We start from the raw sequence: 21,584 nt of genomic DNA on the forward strand, positions 1-21,584 counted from the left end.
ATTGTATCAGGGTCACTGTTCTGACATGTGATCTCTAAGAAGTTCCCTTTGGTCCTAGCGACACGGTCTTGAGCTGACAGCACTGGGTAGACACAGCCCATGATTGCTGGTGAAGAGTTTGCTCAGGAAAGTCTGGGTCATGACACAGAACAGCCTTATTGTGACAAGAATCCAGTGTGGAAAAAAAAGAGCCAGGTGTCAGAAGAAGCAGGCAACAGGAAATAGCAGCATGCATGAGAATTCATTTACCTATCATCTGCTCATCTGTTTGTCCATCCATCATCTAAATATTATTTCACTCAGACACTGGTTCAATCATTTAAAGATTCAACCAACACAAATCAGTGCCATGCATTAGGTGCTAAGGTACCCAGTTACATGGAGCCCTCAGGGAGTAGGCAATCTGGTGAATCAATGGTGAGTGTGTGACAGATGCACCATCTTCCCACCTCCCCTTCACCAGGCAGACAGACATCCGCAGCCTCAGGATCCTTCACAGCGAAGGAAGTGGGCAGCCGCTACCACTGTTTTGAGTTTTGAGGCAAAATGGAATCTATTTCACACTTAATCCAGAAGAGGAAACAAGGAGAAATTAATACTGTTGGCATTGGACACACATTATCTTGTTTAATCCTCAAAACTGCCCTCAATAATTCATCTTATTATCTCCTTTTAATAGGTTTTTAAAAATGAGATTTGAGAGATGAGGTTATTTAACTAGAATTGAGGCTGAATTTCTGTCTGAACTCAGCTGTGTCTGGAACCAGAATATGGGTTCCCTTTATCAGGAAGTGCTCTACCCTGGTGCTTGCCCAAAGATGGCAAGATGGAGCAGGAGGGGCGGATGGCTGAAGCCTGCTATGCTGAAGTGGGCAAGTGCCTGGGAGGCCGGAAGCCACCTGTGATGGGAGCTCAGGGTGACAAGATGCTCCTATGGGTTTGTAGTATTTAAGGCCAGAAAAAGAGTTCAACTGTAGTGAAGTTCTTTTAGGGCTGGAAGGAACTAGAAATACCAAATAGCAACTTGTGCAAATTACTTTTCTGTATAAATAACATATGGCCTGTTTCTTTTAAAGTTGCTGGATTTTCAAGGCCACTACATTAAAGCAAGGGCCAAGGCACGAGTGAGGGCTTCACACATAGATCCCCAGGAATAAAGCAACAGTGTTGGTGAGAATGGTAGTAGTCTAGATGGAAAAGGGTTGAAACCAAAGCCTCTGCCCAGAAGCTTCCACATGGCCATATGCAGGACTGGTTGCAGATGCAACAGCCAGGAGCTGGCTATATTTTTAACTTTTATATGAATAATCTAGCAGTGCAGAGGCACATCTGATCTGTGCTATATGGCAACTTAAGTTTTTTTTCATTTTACTGCAGAATTTAGAGTTTGCTGGGTAGTTGGATGTGCCTTGTTTGGGTGTGTTCTGTAAACAATACACTGGGGTCACTCCCAATTCTCCAGAAGCTAAAATAATTGAAAGTTCATCATGTCGGCTCATTACTACATTTTGCTGTCAAGGGAGCCTCTTAGGTTTGGAAAACTTACCCCTTGGGGAAAATGTAGAATGGCATATTCATAAGAATTTTTCATTTGGGTAAAATTTAACTGAATAAACAATAAGTCTTCATTTTGTCCCAAGAATTGAGATAGATTGGTATATTTACTTTTCATAATAATCTTGTGACGAGGATTTACTGTTCCTGTTCTTTACAGGAAGAAATTGAGGCTTGAGAATCAAAATTCTTCTCCCCATCTCCACCCAAGCAAGAAGCAAAACAGGCAGAAACCTGAAAAACAATTTGTCTTGGTCAGTGCAATCTGTTATCACAAATTACCATAAGCTGTGTGGCTTATAAACAACGTAAGTTTATTTCTCACAGTTCTGGAGGCTGAAAATCTGAGATCAGGGTACCAGCAGGGTCAGATTCTAGTGAGATATTATTTTCTGGTTTCAAACTGCTGACTTCTTGTATCTTCACATGGACAAAAGAGCTGTACAGAATTTACAGCTGAAAACCACAAAATACTAATGAAAATAATCAGAAAAGAACTAAATAATTGGTGAGATATATTGTGTTCATGAATTGGAGGACTCAATGTAGAAACATCAATTTTCTAAAAATTGATCTACAGGTTTAATGCAATTTTTATCAATGTCTCAGCAAGTTATTTTATAGTTTTAGACAATATTATACTAAAATGTACTTGTAAATTCAAAGGAACAAGAACAGATAAAACACTCTCATAAAAGAAGAATAAAATAGGAGAAATCAGTGTACCTCATTTCAAGATTATTGTATACCTACGGTAATCAAGACTGTATGGTATTGGTGAAGGGATAGTCACAGGCATCAATGGAAGAAATAGAGAACTGGGAAACAGACCTGTACAACTATAACGAACTGATTTTTGACAAAAGTGTAAAATCAATTCAATAGAGAAAGAGTGGCCTTTTCAACTAATGGTACTACATAAAATCTATAGCAATATAAACTCTATGAAATTAAATGCAAAGAAAAAGATTGCATGACTGAAGAGAAAACAGGAAACTTGCACATTATACAAAAATTAATTCAAAATAGGCCATACCTCCTACTGTAAAATATGAAAATATACAACTTTTAGGAGAAAACATAAGAGAAAAACCTTTGAATCCTAGGGTTTGCTGAAAAGTTTTTAGACATGATGCCAAAAGCATTATTCATAAAATAAAATCACAACACATTGGACTTAATCAAAGTTAAAAACTTTTGTTCTGTGAAAGACTCTGATAAGAGGATGAAAAGGCAAACTACATTCTGAAAAGGGAACATTTGCAAACCATGTATTTGACAAGGAACTGGAATATATAAAGAACTGAGCAGTAAAAAAAATTCAATTATAAAATGGGCAAAAGATATGAAGAGGCATTTCATCAGAAAGGATGTGCAGATGGCAAATAAGCACATGAAGAGCTAGAAATCCTTACCCAGAAAAATATATTTCCAAAAGAAGCATGGAATACTTTTTTAAAATACACAAAAGCTGGAAGAACTTATCACCAGCAGACCAGTGCTACAGAAATGTTAAAAGAAGACAAATGGTACTAGATAGAAACCTGAAGCTAAATGAGGAAATAAAGGCACCAAGAATAACTGCTTGTGTAAATATACAGTTTGCATTTGTTTAAGATATATTTGGCTGTTTAAACCAAAAGTAATGACAATGTTTTGTGAGGTTTAAGACATATATACAAGTAAGATTGTTATGTTATTATACTATAATAATAAAACAAAAACGTAAAGAAGAAATATATGTTCTGTGTTAAGATTCTTATACTATGGATGAAGTAGTGTAATATAACTTCAAAGTAGACTATGATAAGTTAAAGATATATACTACGAACCCTTAGGCAACCATTAAAATAATACATCAAAAATTATAAAGAGCCCACTAGTAAGATAAATCATAATAAATACTCAAGTAATTTTAAAATAAATAGAAAAATGGGAAAAGGGGAATAAAGTATAAGCAAAAACAGCCCATTAAATGTAAATGGAATAAACATCTATTTAAACAGCATAGAATTTCAGATTGAGTAAAAAAGCATAACCTAAGTATATACTATGCATATACTATGTATAATAAACCCACTTAAACCTAAGGACTTTAATAGGTTAAAAGTAAAATGGTAGAAAAAGACCCTTTTAGCAACTAATCCTAAACAAAGATAGCTGGAGAGGCTATATTAACATTAAGTAGATTTCAAAGCAAAGAATATTAGTAAGATTAAAGTGGTTCATTTATAATTAAAAGGGAACAAATTCATCAAAACGACCTAACTCTAAATGATCATACACCCAACAACAAAACTTCCGAATACGTGACTCACAAATGGATAAAACTGAAAAGAGAAATAGACAAATTCACAGATGTAGAGGACTTGTTTCAAGTGTAAATGGAATGTTAGAAAAGAAGAATGGTCTCAAGTCAACTTGGAAAATGAGAAAACTAGAAAAAGAATAGAAAATGAAAGCTAGGATAAGCAGAAGAAAGGAAATAATAAAGATCAAAGGAGAAAGCAATAAAACAGACAAAAGAAAAACAAAATAATAGAGAATAGTAATGAAACCAACAGATGACTCTTTGAGAAGTTTGGTGAAGTTAATCAACTTCTAGCTACACTGAAAAGGAAAAAAAAGAGAGGAGACAAAATTGCAGCTAATATTAGGAAAGAAAGAAGTAACCTCACTACAGTGTCTACAGATACAAATAAGATAAAAAGAAAACAGTATAAACAACTTTTATGCCAATAAATTCAACAACTTAGATAAAATGGATAAATTCCTTGGATAAAATGGATAAATTCCTTGAAAGACACAACCCCGAAAGTTTGCTCAAGAAGGAGGCAACATGAATAGCCTCATATTTATTAAAGAATTGTATCTATAGTTAAAAACTATCCCACAAGGAAAGCTCTCTGCCCAGGTGCCTTCGCTGGTGAATTGAATGGAACATTTACATAAGAATGAATATGTTAATTCTACACAAACTTTTTCAGAATATTGAACAAGAGGAAATACTGCATTTTTTTTGTTGTTGTTTTCTTTTTTATTCTCATCCCAAAACTAGTCTAAGACATTACAAGAAAAGAAAAGTACAGGCTAATAATACTATGGACATAGATGCAAAAATTCTTAATGCACTTTTAGTAAATCAATTCCAACAATATGGAATTGGCCAAGTAGGGTTAAATTTTACAAATCAATTTATGTAACTCACTAATTAGAAGACTGAAAAATAAAAATAAAACATATATCATCTTAGTAAATGCAGGGAAATCATTGACAACAATTAGTAGTCAATCTTGATTAAAAACTTTCAGTAAACTAGGGATAGAAGGAATTTTCTCAAAGTAAGAGCCATGTTCAAATAACCTATAGCTAACAGTGATTAATGGCAAAACACTGAATGCTCTTCACCTAAAATCAGGGACATGGTGTGGATATCTGCCCTCACCAGTTCTAGTAATCATCATGGTAGAGTTGCTAGCAAGTGCAATAGCTTAAAAAAAAACCAGGCATTTATATTGGAAAGAAAGAAAGAAAACTATATTAATCTGCAGATAACCTATGACATGATTGTCTACATGAAAGTGAAATCCACAAAAAACTGCTACAACTAATAAGTGAGTTTAGCAGAGTTGTAGGGTACAATAACAACATAAAAATTGAATTGTACTTCTACATAATATCAATAAAAAACATAAGTTATCATTTAAAACAAATATTCTCTCTATTCCATAGCATTGCACTCCTGAGAAGCGAACAGATAGCCTCAGCCAGGGATTTCCATAGCGAGCTTTCCAGCTAGTCTTTTGGTATCAGCCCACCTCCAGGGAATAAGTTGCTACTGATAACATAGGGAGGGGAGCACAAACATCCAACACATGACTTGGACATCTCTCAGAACAGATACAATTTCATGTCTTAAAAAATATGTTTTCAGCCTACTATTTCATGAGGCAATTTTTAAAATCTACTATTTCCATTCAGCATATGCTTTACATTCTGTCTGAAACCTTGTATCTTGAACTTCAAGCTATAAGCTGTAAGGTTACACGATGCCTTCCACATTTATTTACCCTTTGGTTTTTGGTAAAACTCCATGGAGCAAGAATCAGGCCTCAGTGTTCCCTTCCTCAAATGTACAACAGGGTGGCTTTAGGGCAAAGACATGGGGTCCTGCTTGGTGGTCAATCCCTGGTTATCATGTGACCTGAGGTGTAGTTGGATCTGCAGCTCAGTCTAGAAAGCCATGACAACCCACAAAGGGTAACCTAGGGTCCTACTGGACCCTCCTCTCTGAGGTGGTCTTACAAAGATAAAGTTTCAGAAAATGGTGTGCATGTGCTGGGTCTCTTACCCAACCCCTCCAGAGGGATTCCCAGCCCTAAAGAGTTGCCTTAGGTTTGATCTCACATCAAACACAGACCCAAGGCTCTGACCCTTCATTATTTTTTAGCACTAAAAACTAAAGCATTCGGAGATCTCTGTGCATGAAGTTTGGAGGACCTGGCAGTGGGCTCCCATCCTGCCCTGCACAGCCTATTTTCAAGCCCCAGTCCATGTTCTCTCTGTCTTCTTTAGCATTGGCACCACGAGGCTCCATCTCTGTTTCAGTGCTTCTCATTTCATAATCCTCAGCTTAGTGCTCTAGAGGGTATGTTCAAGTCCCAGCACTTCTCCTGAATTGAGCCACCCAGCCAGAATGGTCTACCTTGCTCAGTCTCCTCTTTATTTATTGCTAACTCTTCCTAGAAACACAAAGCAGGGGAGTGAACTGGGACCACCAGCTCACTGTGGGCTCAAAAATAGGTATTTTCCACAGCAGAACTTCGTGGCTCATCCCCACTCTTCATTTCACTGTAGGGCCTCAGCCCCCAAATGATGATCAACCTGCCTCATTCCTTCACATTCTTGATGGACCCCTCTTGAGACCCACTGCACATCTTCTGGTGCAAAACCTAAATATACAGAGAAATGGGCATTATGAGCGATTTGGGGATACTTTTTGGTCAATAAAGACAAAAGACAGAGAGGGGATTGGACTCTCATTTGCTGAGAGCATGCTGTGTACGGAGCATGTTACCTCCAGCCAGTCCTTATGCCGTAAGCAGGCTTTCCTCTCGCACCTGAGAGCCTGGCCCCTGGACCTAATCCTTGTGGAGATCTGTTCCTGATCCACCCCTGATTCCTGCCCTCTGTACTCTTGCCTGTGGACTTTTATTATCCTTCCAACTTCATTCTTGTAGGGTCTCAAATCCTTTCCTTGGCTTCCCTTCAGACTGCCTCTGTGCTGTCATGGTCTTTCTTGGGAAGACCTTCTTCTGCTTTCTCTCTAGGAACAACTCGGCCAGGTATAGTTGCCTTTCCCAAGATTACAATTTAGCCCAGGATTCAGTCCCATGGTATCTCCGCCAGGATAGAGCCCACGGGCAAGATTAAATTATCTCATCCTCACAGTTAGATCTTTGCAGAGCTTAGCAATGCCATCTGAGAAAGGAGGCATCTGAAGTTATCAAGCAGACAGGTAACTCCGACCAATTCAGCACTCTGCCCCAACTCCAGATTCTGTGGTAGGCATCTGATATGGGGCTTCCAGCTTCCAAACAGCAGCTACATGTTCATAAGCATCACTGGAGGTCTTTGGTACATTTTGTGTGGTTTTATAAAAAATGATATTTTAAGTGTTCTCATTCATTTTCTCTTTTTGTCAAAAAAAAAAAAAATGCCACAGCATTCAGCGTTTAAGTGGTTGAGGAGGATGAGTGTAAGCAGGTAGAATATGGATCATATCCCCATGCTCTCTCTGAATCCTCCGTCTGTGCCCCACCATAAGCATAGACATACTGGCTACCACATTACCTCATCTTCTCAGGCTTAACTCAGTGTCCATATTAAATTCTCATAGTTTTTGCTGAATTCATTGACTCCCTGACACTTTTCCACACAATGAAAACATTCTGGATTAAGATATAATTTATAAGTCAGTTCAGTATGAATTACTATTGCATAAATTTTCTTTCTTTTTTTTTTTTCTTTGAGATGGAGCCTTGCTCTGTTGCCCAGGCTGAAGTACAGTGGCATGATCTCTGGTCATTGCAACCTCTGTCTCCTGGATTCAAGTGATTCTCCTGCTTCAGCCTCCTGAGTACCTGGTATTACAGGTGTGTGCCACCATACCTGGCTAAGTTTTCTATTTTCAGTAGAGATGGGATTTGGCCATGTTGGCCAGGCTGGTCTTGAACTCCTGACCTCAGGTGATCTGCCTGCCTCGGCCTCCGAAAGTGCTGGGATTACAGGTGTGAGCCACTGCACCTGATCATATTGCATGCATTTTCTTCTGGGGAAAAAATCTTGCAAGAAATACTCCCATTCAATAAAGTGACATACAAATGTTTTGTTTTTTAAAATTAACTGTATTTGTAATAATTTATATATTGTAGAATGTACTCATTCAAGTGTAATTAAGTGAATATTCACAAATCTATTCATCCATGAAAACTCTAAAACGATAAAAAATGGACAACTTTTCCATCACCCACAAAGTTCTCTCATGCCCCTTTGATCACTACCTCACACTCCAGGAAACCACTGATAGGATCCTTCACCATAGCTTAGCTTCATCTGGTCTAGAACTTCACATAAATATTACCTTACAGTATTATCTCTCTCTCTCTCTGACTGTTTTTTTTTTCATTTACTACTCTTGGGTTAGTATCTAGGGGGAAAATTACTGGATTCAATGTTAAATTTATATTCATCTTTATAGGGAATTGGTAAACTGCTTTCCAATGTACTTGCACAATTTTTCATTGCTACCAGCAATATATGACAGTTCCAGTTCCTTTGCCTGTCACTCACATTTGGTATTAAAACCTCCATTTTAATTTTATTTGTTGCTACATATGTGTTATTACATTGTATACTGGCGTTACAAGATCTTTGGGGTGTTGTTTTCCTGGCCAGAAATCTCTGTGGCCAGTGGTGCCTTTGCCTGAGTTTTGTTCACGCCCACTGGGCTCATTTTGCTCACTCAGTCTGGCAGGCTGCACTCAGCTCATTCTACTGGCCCGGGTCCCAGGCCTGCCAAGGGTGAGTCAAGTGTGGAGCAATGAGGGTTGCGTGAGCAAGTGTGGGGTCGGGCCACTGCACACAGTCAGGCATGCCGGCTGCTGCAGCTGGGCAGACAGCTCCAAGTGCCAACATGGGCACCCGCTCTCTGTGAGGCTGTAGCCAGACCAGGTGCACTACAAGCAGCTTCCACAGCTAACACGGTGGTGCCCAGAAGCTTGGAGACACCAGGAACCACAGGGCCCCATGGTCTGGACTCCCTGAAGGGCCACAGCTCTTCTTTCCTTCTCTTTGCCTACAGCATGGTGAGGAAGGGGCATGTCTTAGCCCTGTTTGTGTTACAGCTCTTTTAGGCTTACCATTTGGTGGGTCCCAAGTTCTTGTCCTGCAACCAGGAAGAATGAAGTATGCACAGAAGTGGAGGGTGTGCAAGATGAAGAGGAGCTTTATTGAGTAATATAACAGCTCAGAGGAAACCCTCAGGGGGCATCTCCCTTCCACAGCCAGGGTATCCCAAGGAATGTTCAGCTCCTAGCAGAGAGGGTATCTCCTCTCTGCTAGGCAAGTCATCCTGACAAGAGTTCAGTGGGGCAGAGACGGTGGCTCCCCTCTGAAGCTGGTCATCCTGACTGCTCAACTCTGACTGAGCTCGGGGCTTTTATGGGCCTCAGAGGGGAGGAAGTTCTTGTCGATTGGTCCATGGGCGGCCATGGGTAGGCCTGGAAAAGCCACCATATATTCCCATTTTGATCTGTGGGACTGGCAGCCCTGACGCCAGCCTTCAGGCCTTCCCTGGCCTGAAGGTGGGGCCTCACTGGGGACCTGCCCCCTTCTGCCCAGGAACGTGTTTGCCTCCTGCTGTCATTCATGGTGTCCAGGCTGTAGGTGCCAATGGGTGCCTGCAGGCCAGCACTGAGCGGCCCTCAGCACCCCCTTGGCTTCCCTCCTATGTTCATCAGTGCCCAAGTATGGAAGGGGCCAAGGTGGCAGGGGCTGGCATGTCAGCAGTGCCCTGAGCCTGTGCACACCTGGCTGGGCTGCAACAGCTCCCAGGCTAGGCCCTGACTTTGCTCTGAGATCAGAGCAGGTGCCAATAGCAGGGAGAAGCCAGGCTGTGGGAGCAGGCAGTCTTCCTGGGCCCCCAAGAGTGCAAAGATGCCTGGATCCACAGCCGCAGTTTGGGTGGCTGCAGTCTGCGCCTGGAAAGGCAGGGCTCCCACCTGCTCCTGGGCCTCAAGAATGCAGGGATGCCCGGGTCTGCAGCCATGGCTTGAGCAGCTGCAGTGGGAACCAGGAACCCCAACTCAGAAGGGATGGGGCTCCCACTTGTCACCAGGTCCAGCAGCCTTCGTGGAGTGTGCAGCCCTGCTGTGCCTCCATGCTGCAACTGGCATGATGGCACTGGCCAATCCAGATGGGCTGCCACTGCTATCACTGGTTCCATTTTTCATTTCCTGGTGACTAATGATGCTGAGCATATCTTTATGTGCTTTTTTTGCTATCTATACCTCTTCTTTGCTAATTTATTTCTTCAAATTTTTTCCCCATTATTTTTGTTTTCTTATTATTGTGTTCTAAGAATTCTCAATATATTCTAGATACAAGTTTGTAAGATATATGTATTGAGAATATTTTCTCTCACTCTATGGCTTGCCCCTTCAAAGATACCTTTCCAAGACCAAGTCTTTTAATTTTGGTGAAGTCCAGTTTACCAACACTAAAAAAAACAACTAACATTGATGCAATACTATTAACTATAGAGTTTTTCACGTTTGTCATTTGTCCCACTAGGGTCATTTTTTCCATTCAAAGATCTAATCCAGGATGACATTGCATTTCATCACCATGCCTCCTTAGTCTCCTCCCATCTGTGACAAGGTCTCAGTCGTTCCTTGTTTCTTGGTGATTGTGACACATTTAAAATAGCAGGTATTTTGCAGTATGTACTGCAATTTGTGTTTGCCTGATATTTTCTCATGCATAGATGGGGGTTATAGAATTTGGGGAAGAATACTACAGAGGTGAAGTGCCCATCACATCCTGTCACAGCAGGGGCACATGATATCAGCAAGGCTCGTTACTGGTGACGCTAACCTTGACCACGTGGTTAAGGTGTTCTCTGTCAGTTTCTTCCACTGTGAAGTTATACTTTTTTTCCTTTCCATACTCTACTTATTAGAAATAAGTCATTAAGACCAAGGCTACACTCAAGGCCAGTGGGATTAAGCTCTACCTCTTGGAGGAAGGCACAGGAAATAATTTGTGGATCCATGTTAAAACCATTAAGAGTAATTAACAAATATTTGTAACACTTTGAAGCTATAGAACTATCCTGTTTCTTCTTAAAGTTTACCTGTCTGATTTTAGAATTCCTTAGTGGATCTTGCCTGCAGCAATTATTACAGTTGCAGTCTAATGACGGTTTCCTATTACCCTGACTCTTTTTACATTTATTATTTGGAATTCTTCTGTAAGGAAGATTTGTTCCTCATCTCAATTTATATATTCAATCATTTAAATTAGCACAGATGCGTGTATTTTTATTTTCTACTCTGAGTTATAACCCCAGAACACTTTACTTACTTTGTTGCCCAGGTATTTAACTTTGGTCTTTGATTTCAGTTTGGCATCTATGCCCAACCACACCCCTTTTTAAAAGCATTTTCTAAGTTTTTGGCACAAGATGCTTCAGGCTTATTTTGTATTTCTTCAGTCCCACCCCTCAAATCATCTACTTCTCCAAGATATTCTAATTCCTTTTATGAGAACGTGGTATTTAGAAATCAAGATTTGATTTGCTCATTTGATTTGCTCTAATTTGCTCATTGTTACTGGGTATCACTGCCTTGAGGCTCTCTCAGCAGACAGAGCTTAGCAGACAGACCTACAAAATATACATGTATATGCCTATGTATATACCTATATATTTATATATGTGTGAGTGCATATATTTATATATCTTGTTATGTGTATATACATTAAAATAAATATCAGTTAAGAGTGATATCCATGACTATAAGAAAATGCCAGAAGATTCATTCTAACCTTTTCTGCCCTGCTTGCTTATAACTTCTTTTCCTGACGTAATCTAGCTCTCACTATACACAATTTATTGACTTCTTTTTCAACCCTTGTATACATGTAGTGTAGTTTCAGAATTGCTAACTTGTACTGGTATGAGAAAGATTTATCAACTAGAGTACAGCATTTATGTAAATTCTTTTTGTCTTGAATCTTAGAGTATCCAGCCAAACACTATTTTCCAAAGTTATTGAGGCCAGCTCCTTTATCCCCCAAACCCTTTGACCCTTAAGTGAGATTATATCACACATTTCTAATACAGTTATATTCATTTGTCCCGGTCTGCATTCCACCTGAGAATCCCCTGACACCTTGGTTCATGGGCTTTTCCCAATTTGCATATAGAACAATTCACTCCTTGTGGTTTACAATTTTATACATTTCCTGCCATCAAGTTTTTTTTTATCTAAAATGTTATTTTGCAATAACTGCAGATCGATTCACATGCAGTTGTAAGAAATAATACAGGCAATTCTTGGGTCTACTTTACCCAGTTGTCCTCAGTGGTAACATCTTGCAAAACCATAGCACAATATCACAACCAGATATTGACGCTGATATAGTCAAGATGCAGAACATTCCATCACCACAAGAATCTCATAGTCACACCCACACGTCCCTTCTCTTTCCACTCCCTCATAAACAGAGGCAATCATGAACTCATTCCCATTTACATAATTTTGTTATTCAGGAATGTTTTATAAGTGAAGTCAGGAAGTATGCAATATTTTAGTATCACTTTTTTATCTAGAGCAATTCCCTGATGTTTCATTCAAGTTGTTCCATGCATCGATACTTTGTTCCTTTTTAATTTCTGAATAGTATTCCATTGTATGGACATAGCACAGATTATTTTAATCATTCACTCATGAAGAACATCTGGGTTCATCCCAGTTTTTAACTATTAAGAATAAAGCTACTAGAAACATATACATATAGACTTTTGGGTGAATATCAATTTCAATTTATTTGGGAAAAACATTGAAGAGGGCAACTGCTTAATTGGTAGTTGTTACATATTTAGTTATTAAAAAAACTATTAGCTGTTTTTCAGAGTGGCTGCACTGTTTTACATTCCCATCAGCAATACATGTGTGATTCAGTTTCTCTGCATCTTTTTCAGTATTTGATCTGTCATTTTTATGTTAGCCATATGAGAGATCTGTAATGATATCTCACTGTGGCTTTAATTTGCATTTCCCAAATCAGCTAACTATGTTAAACATCTTTTCATGTGATTATTTGCTTGTTTCCCATCTTCATAAGCTCTTTGATGAAATGCGTGTTCATACCTTTTGCCAATTTTCAAATTGGATTATTTGTTATTTTACTGTTGACTGTTCAGAGTTCTTTATAGAGTGTAGATACTAGTTCTTTGTCAGGTGTGTGGTTTGCAAATATTTTCTTCCAGTTTGTACCTTGTGCTTTCATTCTCTTAACTGAGTCTTTTGCAGGACAAAAGTTTTAATTTTGATAGTCTTTTATTTTTCCTTTTATGGGTCATCCTTTTGGTGACAAGTCTAAGAGCTCTTTGCCTAGCCTTAGATCTGAGATTGGGGTTACAGACATTCTTGCATGTGTTGCCAATTTTAGGAGAAAATTGCTGTCTTTCATTTTTATTAAGTATGATGTTAGCTAAAGGGTTTTTGAAGATGCTCTTCATGAAGTTACAAAAGTCTTTTCTGTTCTTAGTGTTCTGACAGCTTTTATAATGAATTGGTGCTGAATTTTTAGATTGCTATTTTTTTTGCCTCTGTGGTGTGAAGTTTCTTTTTATTCTGTTGATAGGGTAAATTACAATGACTAGTTTTAAAATATTAAGCCAACTTTGCATTTCTTCAGTAAACTCAAGTTAGTCATGATGTGTCATTAAACTTATTTCCTAATTTTTAAAAAAATTTGTGTGTGTATCTTCATTAGATACATTGATAATTAGTATTCTTGTCTTCAAATGTTTTATATTAAATATTAGAGTAATAATGTCTTCATAAAATGAATTGGTATTTATTCCATCTTTATGTCCTAAAAATATATCATGTAGAATTGTTAATTATTTCCCCCTTAAATATTTGGTATAACTCATTAGTGAAGTCAACTGATTCTGGGGTTTTCTTTGTGGGAATTCTGTCCATTTGTTTGTTTGTTTGTTTATCATCCAGCCCAAATGTCATTTGGGAATTTTTTTGATCACAAATATTTACCTAAAATATGTCTAGTCAGATTTTCTGCTTCATATTTTGTAAGAATATTTTCAAGGGATTAGACCATTTCGTCTGTATTGTTAAACTTATCAGCATAAAGTTATTAATAACTTTGTTTTTAATTATTATTGTTCCTTTAATACCTGATATATTGATGACCTTTTCTTCATTCCTAATGTTGAAAATTTTTGTTCTCTTTCATTTTTTCTTGATCATTCTAGCTAGATGTTTATCAATTTTAATGATTTTTATAAAAAAAATCTGTCATTTGATTTTTCTCTATTGCTTATCTGTTTTCTACTAATAGATTTCTGCCTTTGTTTTTATTATTTCCTTTTCTGTATTTATTTTGTGTTTTATATGCTATTTTTCTAACTTATTAAAGTAGAAGTTTTGGTCATTGCTTTTATACTTTTCTTCATTTCTAACATAAGCAATTAAAGCTATACCTTCCCCGCTAATGTTTTAAATTCCAAGATATGATCTTCTTGGTGAATGTTTTATTTACTCTTGAAAGAAAAATGTATATTCTGCTACTGTTAGCAGGATACTCTACACATCTCAAGTAGACCAGCTTGGTAGATACTGTTATGCAAGGTTTTGTCTCCTTACTATCTTTTTGTCTGCTTGTTCTACCAATTCCTGACAGTGTGGTGTTAGCGTGTGCTATTATAACTGTGAATTTTTCTGTCTCCTTACAGTTATATCAGTTTTTGCTTCCTGTTTTCAAAACTTTGTCATTTGGTGCCTATACATCATGAATTGTTATATCTTCTTGACAAATTGACCATTTATGTCATAAAATCTTCCTCTTTATTTTTGGTAACATTTCTTATTTAGAAGTCTGCTTTGTCTGATGTTAATATTACAGGTCCTTCATAATTCTTATGATTAGTCTTTACCTACTATTCTAGGTTCACATTCTTTTATTTAGTCTATACTCTTTCTTTAAAGTATATTATTTCATATAGCATATAGCTGATCTTGCCCTATTAGTCAGCGTTTTAATCCTTTTCATTTAACTAGGATATTGTAACAATTTGCATAGAATGTGATTAATACCACCTTGGTATTTTTTCTAATCTGCTTTTAACTCTTCTTACTCTTTCCCTCCTTTCTTTTGAATTATTTTTTAACATTCTATTTTATTTATATTAGTGACTTATTGGCTGGACCACTTTGCTTATTCATTTATTTTAATGTAGTTCCTTAATATCTTATAATATGCATCTTTAATATATCAAAGTCTTCCTTCAAATAAAATGATACCAGTTCATATATATTTTTTCCAAACATTGTAAGTTGTTTCAGATATTTTTCTTCTACATATGATATAAATGCTACAAAAGATTATTAAGTGTTTTTGTGTAAAGCAGTCAATTATATTTTCTTAAATAAACTTATGAAAAAGTTGTATCTTTTATGTTTATGTCTTACATACAATTTTTTTTACTTTATATACATATTTAGCATTTATGACATTCCTCATTTTTTGTTAAGATCCTAATTTCTCTTTGGAATTATTTTCTTTCAGTCTGAAAACTTTTTAAATGTTTCTTGTACTGCAGGTCTACTGACTACAAATTTCTCAGTATTTTGTTTCTTTGAAAAAGTTTTTGTTTCATTGTTATTTATGAGTACATTTTTCTGTAAATATAATTCCAATTCATTTTTTAAACTGGCACTATAAATGTGCAATTGTATTGTCCTCTGGCTTGCATTGTTTCTGGAGAGAAGGTTTTGGTTATTCTTATTTTGTCCCCCTATATGTAATGTGTCTTTTTCCTCTGGTTCCTTTAAAAATTTCTATTTACCACTGGTTTTTAGCAATTGTATTATGATGTGCATTTGTATGGTTTTCCTTGTGTTTACCCTACTTTGGTTTCATTCATCTTCTTGGATTTATGAGTTTATAGCTTCATCAAATTTGGAAACAATTCTGGTGTTTTGACTGGAGTATTTTTTTCTTCCCTCCTTTTTTTCTTGACTTCTAGTTACACGTGTCACACTGCTTCCGATTGTCCCAACGTCACTGAGCCCTTGTTCATTTTCAAAACTGTTTAAAAAAAAGTCACTGTGCTTAATTTGGATAGTTTCTATTGCAACGTTTTAAAATTTTCTAATCTTTTCTTATGCGGTGTGTATGTTAAGCCCATTTGTTAAATATTTTACTTAATATATTGTATTGTTTTACATCTCCAGAAATTCCATTTGCTTCTTTTTTATGTTTTCTCTGTCTTCCCTTACTATAGCATGTTTTCAGTTAAATCTTGAAGGATATTTGAAGCAGATTTTTTAAAGTATTTTATGCTAATTCCAACACCTATGTTATTTCTAGGTCTGTTTCTTTTCATTGTTTTTTCTCCTGGTTTTGAAAGACATTTCTCTGCTTCTTTGCATGTCTAGTAATTTTATTATTGATGCTAAACATTTTGGTGACCATCTGGATTTTTTGTCTTTTTAAAAAGTTTTTTGACTTTAATATTTTTAGCTAACTGTTAATTTACTTTAGGTCAATTTGTTTCTTTTGAGGCATGTTTTAAAATCTTGTCGGATCAGGTTTAGAGCAGTCTGTGCTATAGGTGTAGTTATTATTACTACTAAGATGTGGTCCTTCTGGTTTTGACAGAATGTCCTGAGTGTTTTACAAAGTATCTGCAATTGGACTGTTTGGAACTCAAATTTCTCCAAGCGGGAGGTAAGATCTAGGAACTTTTCAGCCTTTATCAACCCAGTAGTGTTTTTTAATGGCTTATGGTATTTTATGCAACTCAGGTGTAGCTTAGTACTCAGCAAAAAACTCAGAGAGACTCCATTTATTTTTACAGAGTTCTTTTTATGCCATCTTATCCATTACTTTGCCCTGTGATTTTCAGCCACCTCCACCTTCCAGTTCCATTTCTTGTATCGTCAATACAGTGAAACTGCAGTTTTGCCTGTCGTGCCCTCGCTGTGGTGCTTATTGTCTGGAAAGTATCTTCATGCAGAAAACTAGAGCAAATCGTAGAGGTCATCCACTTTTTCTTTTTCTTCTTGATCATATTTTTGTGTTGTGTCTTCAGTGACTGAAAACACTTTTTCATATATGTTTCCTGTTTACTAGTTGGCCAGTGCTGCAGAACAGTGGAAGCAGAAATGCAAATTCATTTTTTTTTTTGCTATGATTCTTGTGCTTTTCAACATTTACCCAAAGACAATTCCAAATTCCAGTCTTGAACTTATCTAGGTGGTGTAATTTTGAACTCCCGCATATCTGAGAATGCCCTTTCAAAAGAAAGCACACCAGACTAGGACCTAAGGCTGGGACCTGGGGCTCCTGGCACCAGCGCAGGACCCCATGGCCTGTGCTGTCTTCTCTTCCAGCCTTTGTTGTGCAGAAAGGGATGGGCCAGCCTCAGTCTTGTTCCTCTGGAGGTCATCTGTTTTTCCATTTCTGCGTGAGTTACTAAAGGGATTTTCCCCGCTAAAAATCTTTAACACAAGTGGTTGTCAGAATGTATTCAGGGCCTAGAATTAAAATACTCTTTCTGATTTGCATGCTCAACCTTTTGTCATTTTAGAAAACTGACGTTGCTTTAGTTATCTGGATTAGTCCTGGGAGGACCTCTGACTGCTGGGTCAGCGCCCTACCCTTTGTCCTGCAGGGTTCTCATCTGTCCCCAGTCATCTCTCTGCATTTGTCTTTTAACTCTTCCTTGTGAAAGAGCCAAGCTGGCTTGTTTTCCACATCAAACAGTTTTCCCCAGTGTGATGATTGCTTTACGCTCCCTCTAATGTAGGTTCTTTGATAACATGTGTCCATTGCTTGGTGCTCTTAAGGATTTCCCCGGTCTTCCCTCTTATCTCATCCTGTTGTTTTAAAAAGGTCAGCCTGTTCTCTCTTTGGAATATTTTGTTCAGATCCACAGAATCTCCTTTCATTCAGCCTACTGAAAAGCTGAACAGGCAGGGTGAGGTGGCTCATGCCTGTAATCTCAGCACTTTGGGAGGCCAAGGCAGGTGGATCACTTGAGGCTAGGAATTTGAGACCAGCCTGGCCAACATGATGAAACCCTGTCTCTACTAAAAATACAAAACTTAGCTGGGCATGGTGGCATGCACCTGTAGTCCCAGTTGCTAGGGAGGCTGAGGCACGAGAATTGCTTGAACCTGGGAGGCAGAGGTTGCAGTGAGCCGAAATCGCGCCATCACACTCCAGCCTGGGTGACAGAGTGAGACTCTGTCTCAAACAAACAAACAAACAACAAAAAAACACAAAACAAAAAAGAAAAGAAAAGCTGAACATTTTTCTAAAAGTACCAGTTTCTATTCCCCCCATATCCCTTGTTTTGCCATCTTAGGAACTGCATTGTTTTGTAATTTATCAATCCTTAAACTAGAGGTGATCTAGCCAGTTCAACAGCCAGGTTGTGTGGTCTGCTCATCCCTTCTTTTGTTTCATCTGGATACTCTCAAGATCCCTTCTTCGTCTGTAAGTCAAGGATCCTGGCCCAGTTGTCAGGATGTCATGAAATGGTCCTCTGTGGCTCTGGTCCCTTGTGATTGAGAAAATCTTTTCCAAGCCTCATGGGCAGGTCTTCTGAAACAATGGAGGAAATGAGCAGCTGCTTGCCCAGCGTGCAGGGACATCAGGATCTCCTGGTCTGCAATCAGCCAACACATTTCTATTGAATATACTTCCCCCAAAAAGCGAGGAGCCATGACTGGCCCTGCCATCCTCTGAGTCTTCTTGGTGAATGGAGACGGCGATCTCAGAGTAAGTAATGAGAGAGGTATCAATGGTGGGCTGGCTGGGGCAGGGTGAGTGAGCAATGAGAAGAATCGGACTCATTCTTTGTGTCATGGGAGAGGCAGGGCCTGCTCAGCAGAGGGGCATCTGCCCAGTTTTGCCACATGCACAAGTCCTGGGCATCTAAGCCAAGTGTCGGGAATGCATTTGTCCCACTTCAGGTAGCATGCCGTGTGTCTGCCAGTGAGATGAGACTCAGCTCAGCTCCCTCAGCCCTGGGGGAGGTCACTCACAGGTGGGCGGCGGTCAGTTTCTAGGATTGTGAGATACTTTCTGGAGATCTGCGCTGTTCTAAGGTGAGATATAAAATTAACATTCAACTTGTGATGGTGCCACTGCCTTCCACCCATGTGGAATTGACTTTCTCCCTGGCTGAGCCTGAAACATGACTCTCTCCAGATAAAGCAAAGTGGGGCAAAGAACTCTCGGCACCTGGGCCTGCCTCCAACTCTAGGGCAGCCCCAGGCAGTACCCAGATGTTGCCTCTTGAAATCCCCTCTTTCCCCAGCCCCAGGGTCCCAGTTCTCCCCCAGCTCTTTTCGTTGCCCCCTCCCTGCTCTGTCTCCCTCTGTTCACAGGCACCTTGAAGCCAGCGTTCTGGCTTTACTCATTTTCGTCCCTCTGTAACATTTCTCTACATGTGGTCGAGATCATTCTTGACTTATACTATCTCATAGAGAATCATAGCCCATCCATGCATCCCTAGCCCAAGCCTCATAAGCCTACTCAGATGGCTGTGCCACTCATGCAGTGAAGAACCCAGGGAAGGAGGATGATGGTGCTCAGTAGAACCCATTTCCTAGGGAGCTGACACATCAGTCTGGACTCTGATAGCAAGGCCCTGGGCCACATCAGAGGTAAAGACTGGAAATATTGACCAAAGAATTGTCCACACTCCGAACAGTTCTTTAGTTGGAGCTCTGAGAGTGAATTAAGTCACCCAGGGTGAAGGAGAAGGGAAGAAGGGTGGAAATGAAATCCCCAAGAGAGTGAGCATTTAAGAGACAGGCAGAGGAGATGAAAGCCATGAGAGGAGATGAAAGACGGGCCAGAGAAAAGGTAAAGCAAAGACCGTGACGCAGTGGAGCCCAGACAACCAAGGCTTCAAGCAGGAAGTTCAGCCACACTCGCTTTCAAAAAATAGGAAGGTGACTGGTGTCTGAAAGATCCACTGTACTAGGCAAAAAAGAGGTCAGGGAAGACTGTGGCAGGAAGGGCGAGTGAAGGGCTCCGGGGGCTCAAGGAGCCGCCCAGAGGCGATGAGACAGGAATGCTGAGCACAGACAGCTTTAGGGTGGCCTGAGTGTAGCAGGAGAGAGTGAGTTGAGGACAGTGTGAGGCAGGGGGACAGAGGGTGCAGGGGGTGGTGGGCCCAAGCATCTAGTTTAAAATGGTGTGACTTGAGCTTATGAATAGAACAAAGAGATAAAGACAGAGAGAGAAAATGCAGCGTAGGAGGTTGCAAGGAGGGCGGAGGAGAGGCCCTTTCTCTCCCCTTGTGAGGTTAGCTTCTTAGGAGCACACGGCCTGGTGCCTGATGCATAACAGCTACTCAGTAAATATTTCCAGAGAGCAGAACAATAAATATTTCTTCCCTTACTCTGCTCCAGTTGCACAAGGCAGTAGTGTTATAGGGAAGGGAGTGTGGCTGCTACAGAGAGGCTGCTTTGCAAAAGACCCAACAGTTCCACTCCTGGATACAGAGCCCAGTAGCAGGCCCTCTGTGCTGCTTCCTGAATGTAGCACCCTTGGAGAGAAGTGGGCACGGTGTGGGAGGTCATAGAGCCGGGCACCCTGCACAGCGTTCCAGCCCGACCTGCAGCAGGAGCGCCAGCAACATGGACCAGGCCTCCCTCCAGTCAGCTTCGCTTCAAGGAGGAGAACTTGAGGCAACAAAAAGCCTCTGGGTAATTTCCAAGTCAAAGTTTAATTTCATTTGCACCTTTGGAAATAGTGTAAAACATAGGGATGATAATGCTCTGATTTCACCTGGCACACTTAAAATGTAAAAATGAACGCCTTTATTGATTTTCTTCACCACAAAATAAGCCATAAAACACAAATAAGTCAACCTCTCCAAGTAGAGCTCATTTGCAGCGGGGGAGCGCGCAGGCTGACAGAGCTCATCAATTACAGACTCTGAGTGATTTCTGAGCTTAAGTAGAACTTTATGGGCCAGGCTGTGACTCCACAATTGCCTTCTTCTATCATGATTCCTCTCCTGGGCCCCAGTGAAGCTGTGGGAAGTCCTTGGTAGTGGCCACACCGGTGGTCCTGGCACTCTGGTGGAAACTTGTGCTCCACATCTGAGCACGGAGGGAGAGGTAAGAGCCCAGGTTGTCAAGGTCCTCCTCGCACAGAGCCGAGGGCAGCTGGGGAAACAGCCATGCCCTCCGGAGCCCAGACCTGATTATTGCCTGTCTGTGCAGCATTAATTCCTTCTTCTACTCCAGGCCCCCCAGTCTCACCCAATTACACAGTTCCCTCATGTTGTATCAGTCAGGGGTTCAATCCGAGAAGCAAAGGCACTAGAGGTGACATTGAATAAGGGATTTGTCATAGGACTAGGCCTTCCCCAGGGTGGGTGCAGGCTGGGTAGGGTGCTGCTTCTGCATCCAGCTCTGAGCCTGAGGTCACCCATCTACGGGTCAGCCAGGCATAGCAGTGGAGGAAAACAAGAAACTGGGTGTGGACGAGGTCAAGGGCAACTGGAACCAGGCAATACACCCAGGGATGCATGCTTGCCTCCATCACCTCCCGCCTCTATGCTGTGGGTGACCTGGGGGAGAACCCAGCTCTTTGGCCATGGTGCTACATCTGCACCTGGCCCAGGTCTTGGAGAAGTGAAGGAAGACATCTAAGGGAACCAGAGACATGTAGGTCTGGGTGCTGCCCTG

General features: G+C 39.9%; 1 annotated feature.

Annotated features, from left to right (window-relative positions):
* Window positions 17,358-17,890: an enhancer, noted in NCBI's record as "OCT4-NANOG hESC enhancer chr2:129944797-129945329 (GRCh37/hg19 assembly coordinates)". NCBI's record gives its function as "activates a minimal SCP1, AML or CMV promoter by ChIP-STARR-seq in naive and primed H9 embryonic stem cells {active_cell/tissue: H9 hESC(naive and primed)}" and the evidence as "EXISTENCE:reporter gene assay evidence [ECO:0000049][PMID:30033119]".

This window comes from Homo sapiens, chromosome 2 (genome assembly GCF_000001405.40).
Source record: "Homo sapiens chromosome 2, GRCh38.p14 Primary Assembly".
Lineage (NCBI taxonomy): Eukaryota > Metazoa > Chordata > Mammalia > Primates > Hominidae > Homo > Homo sapiens.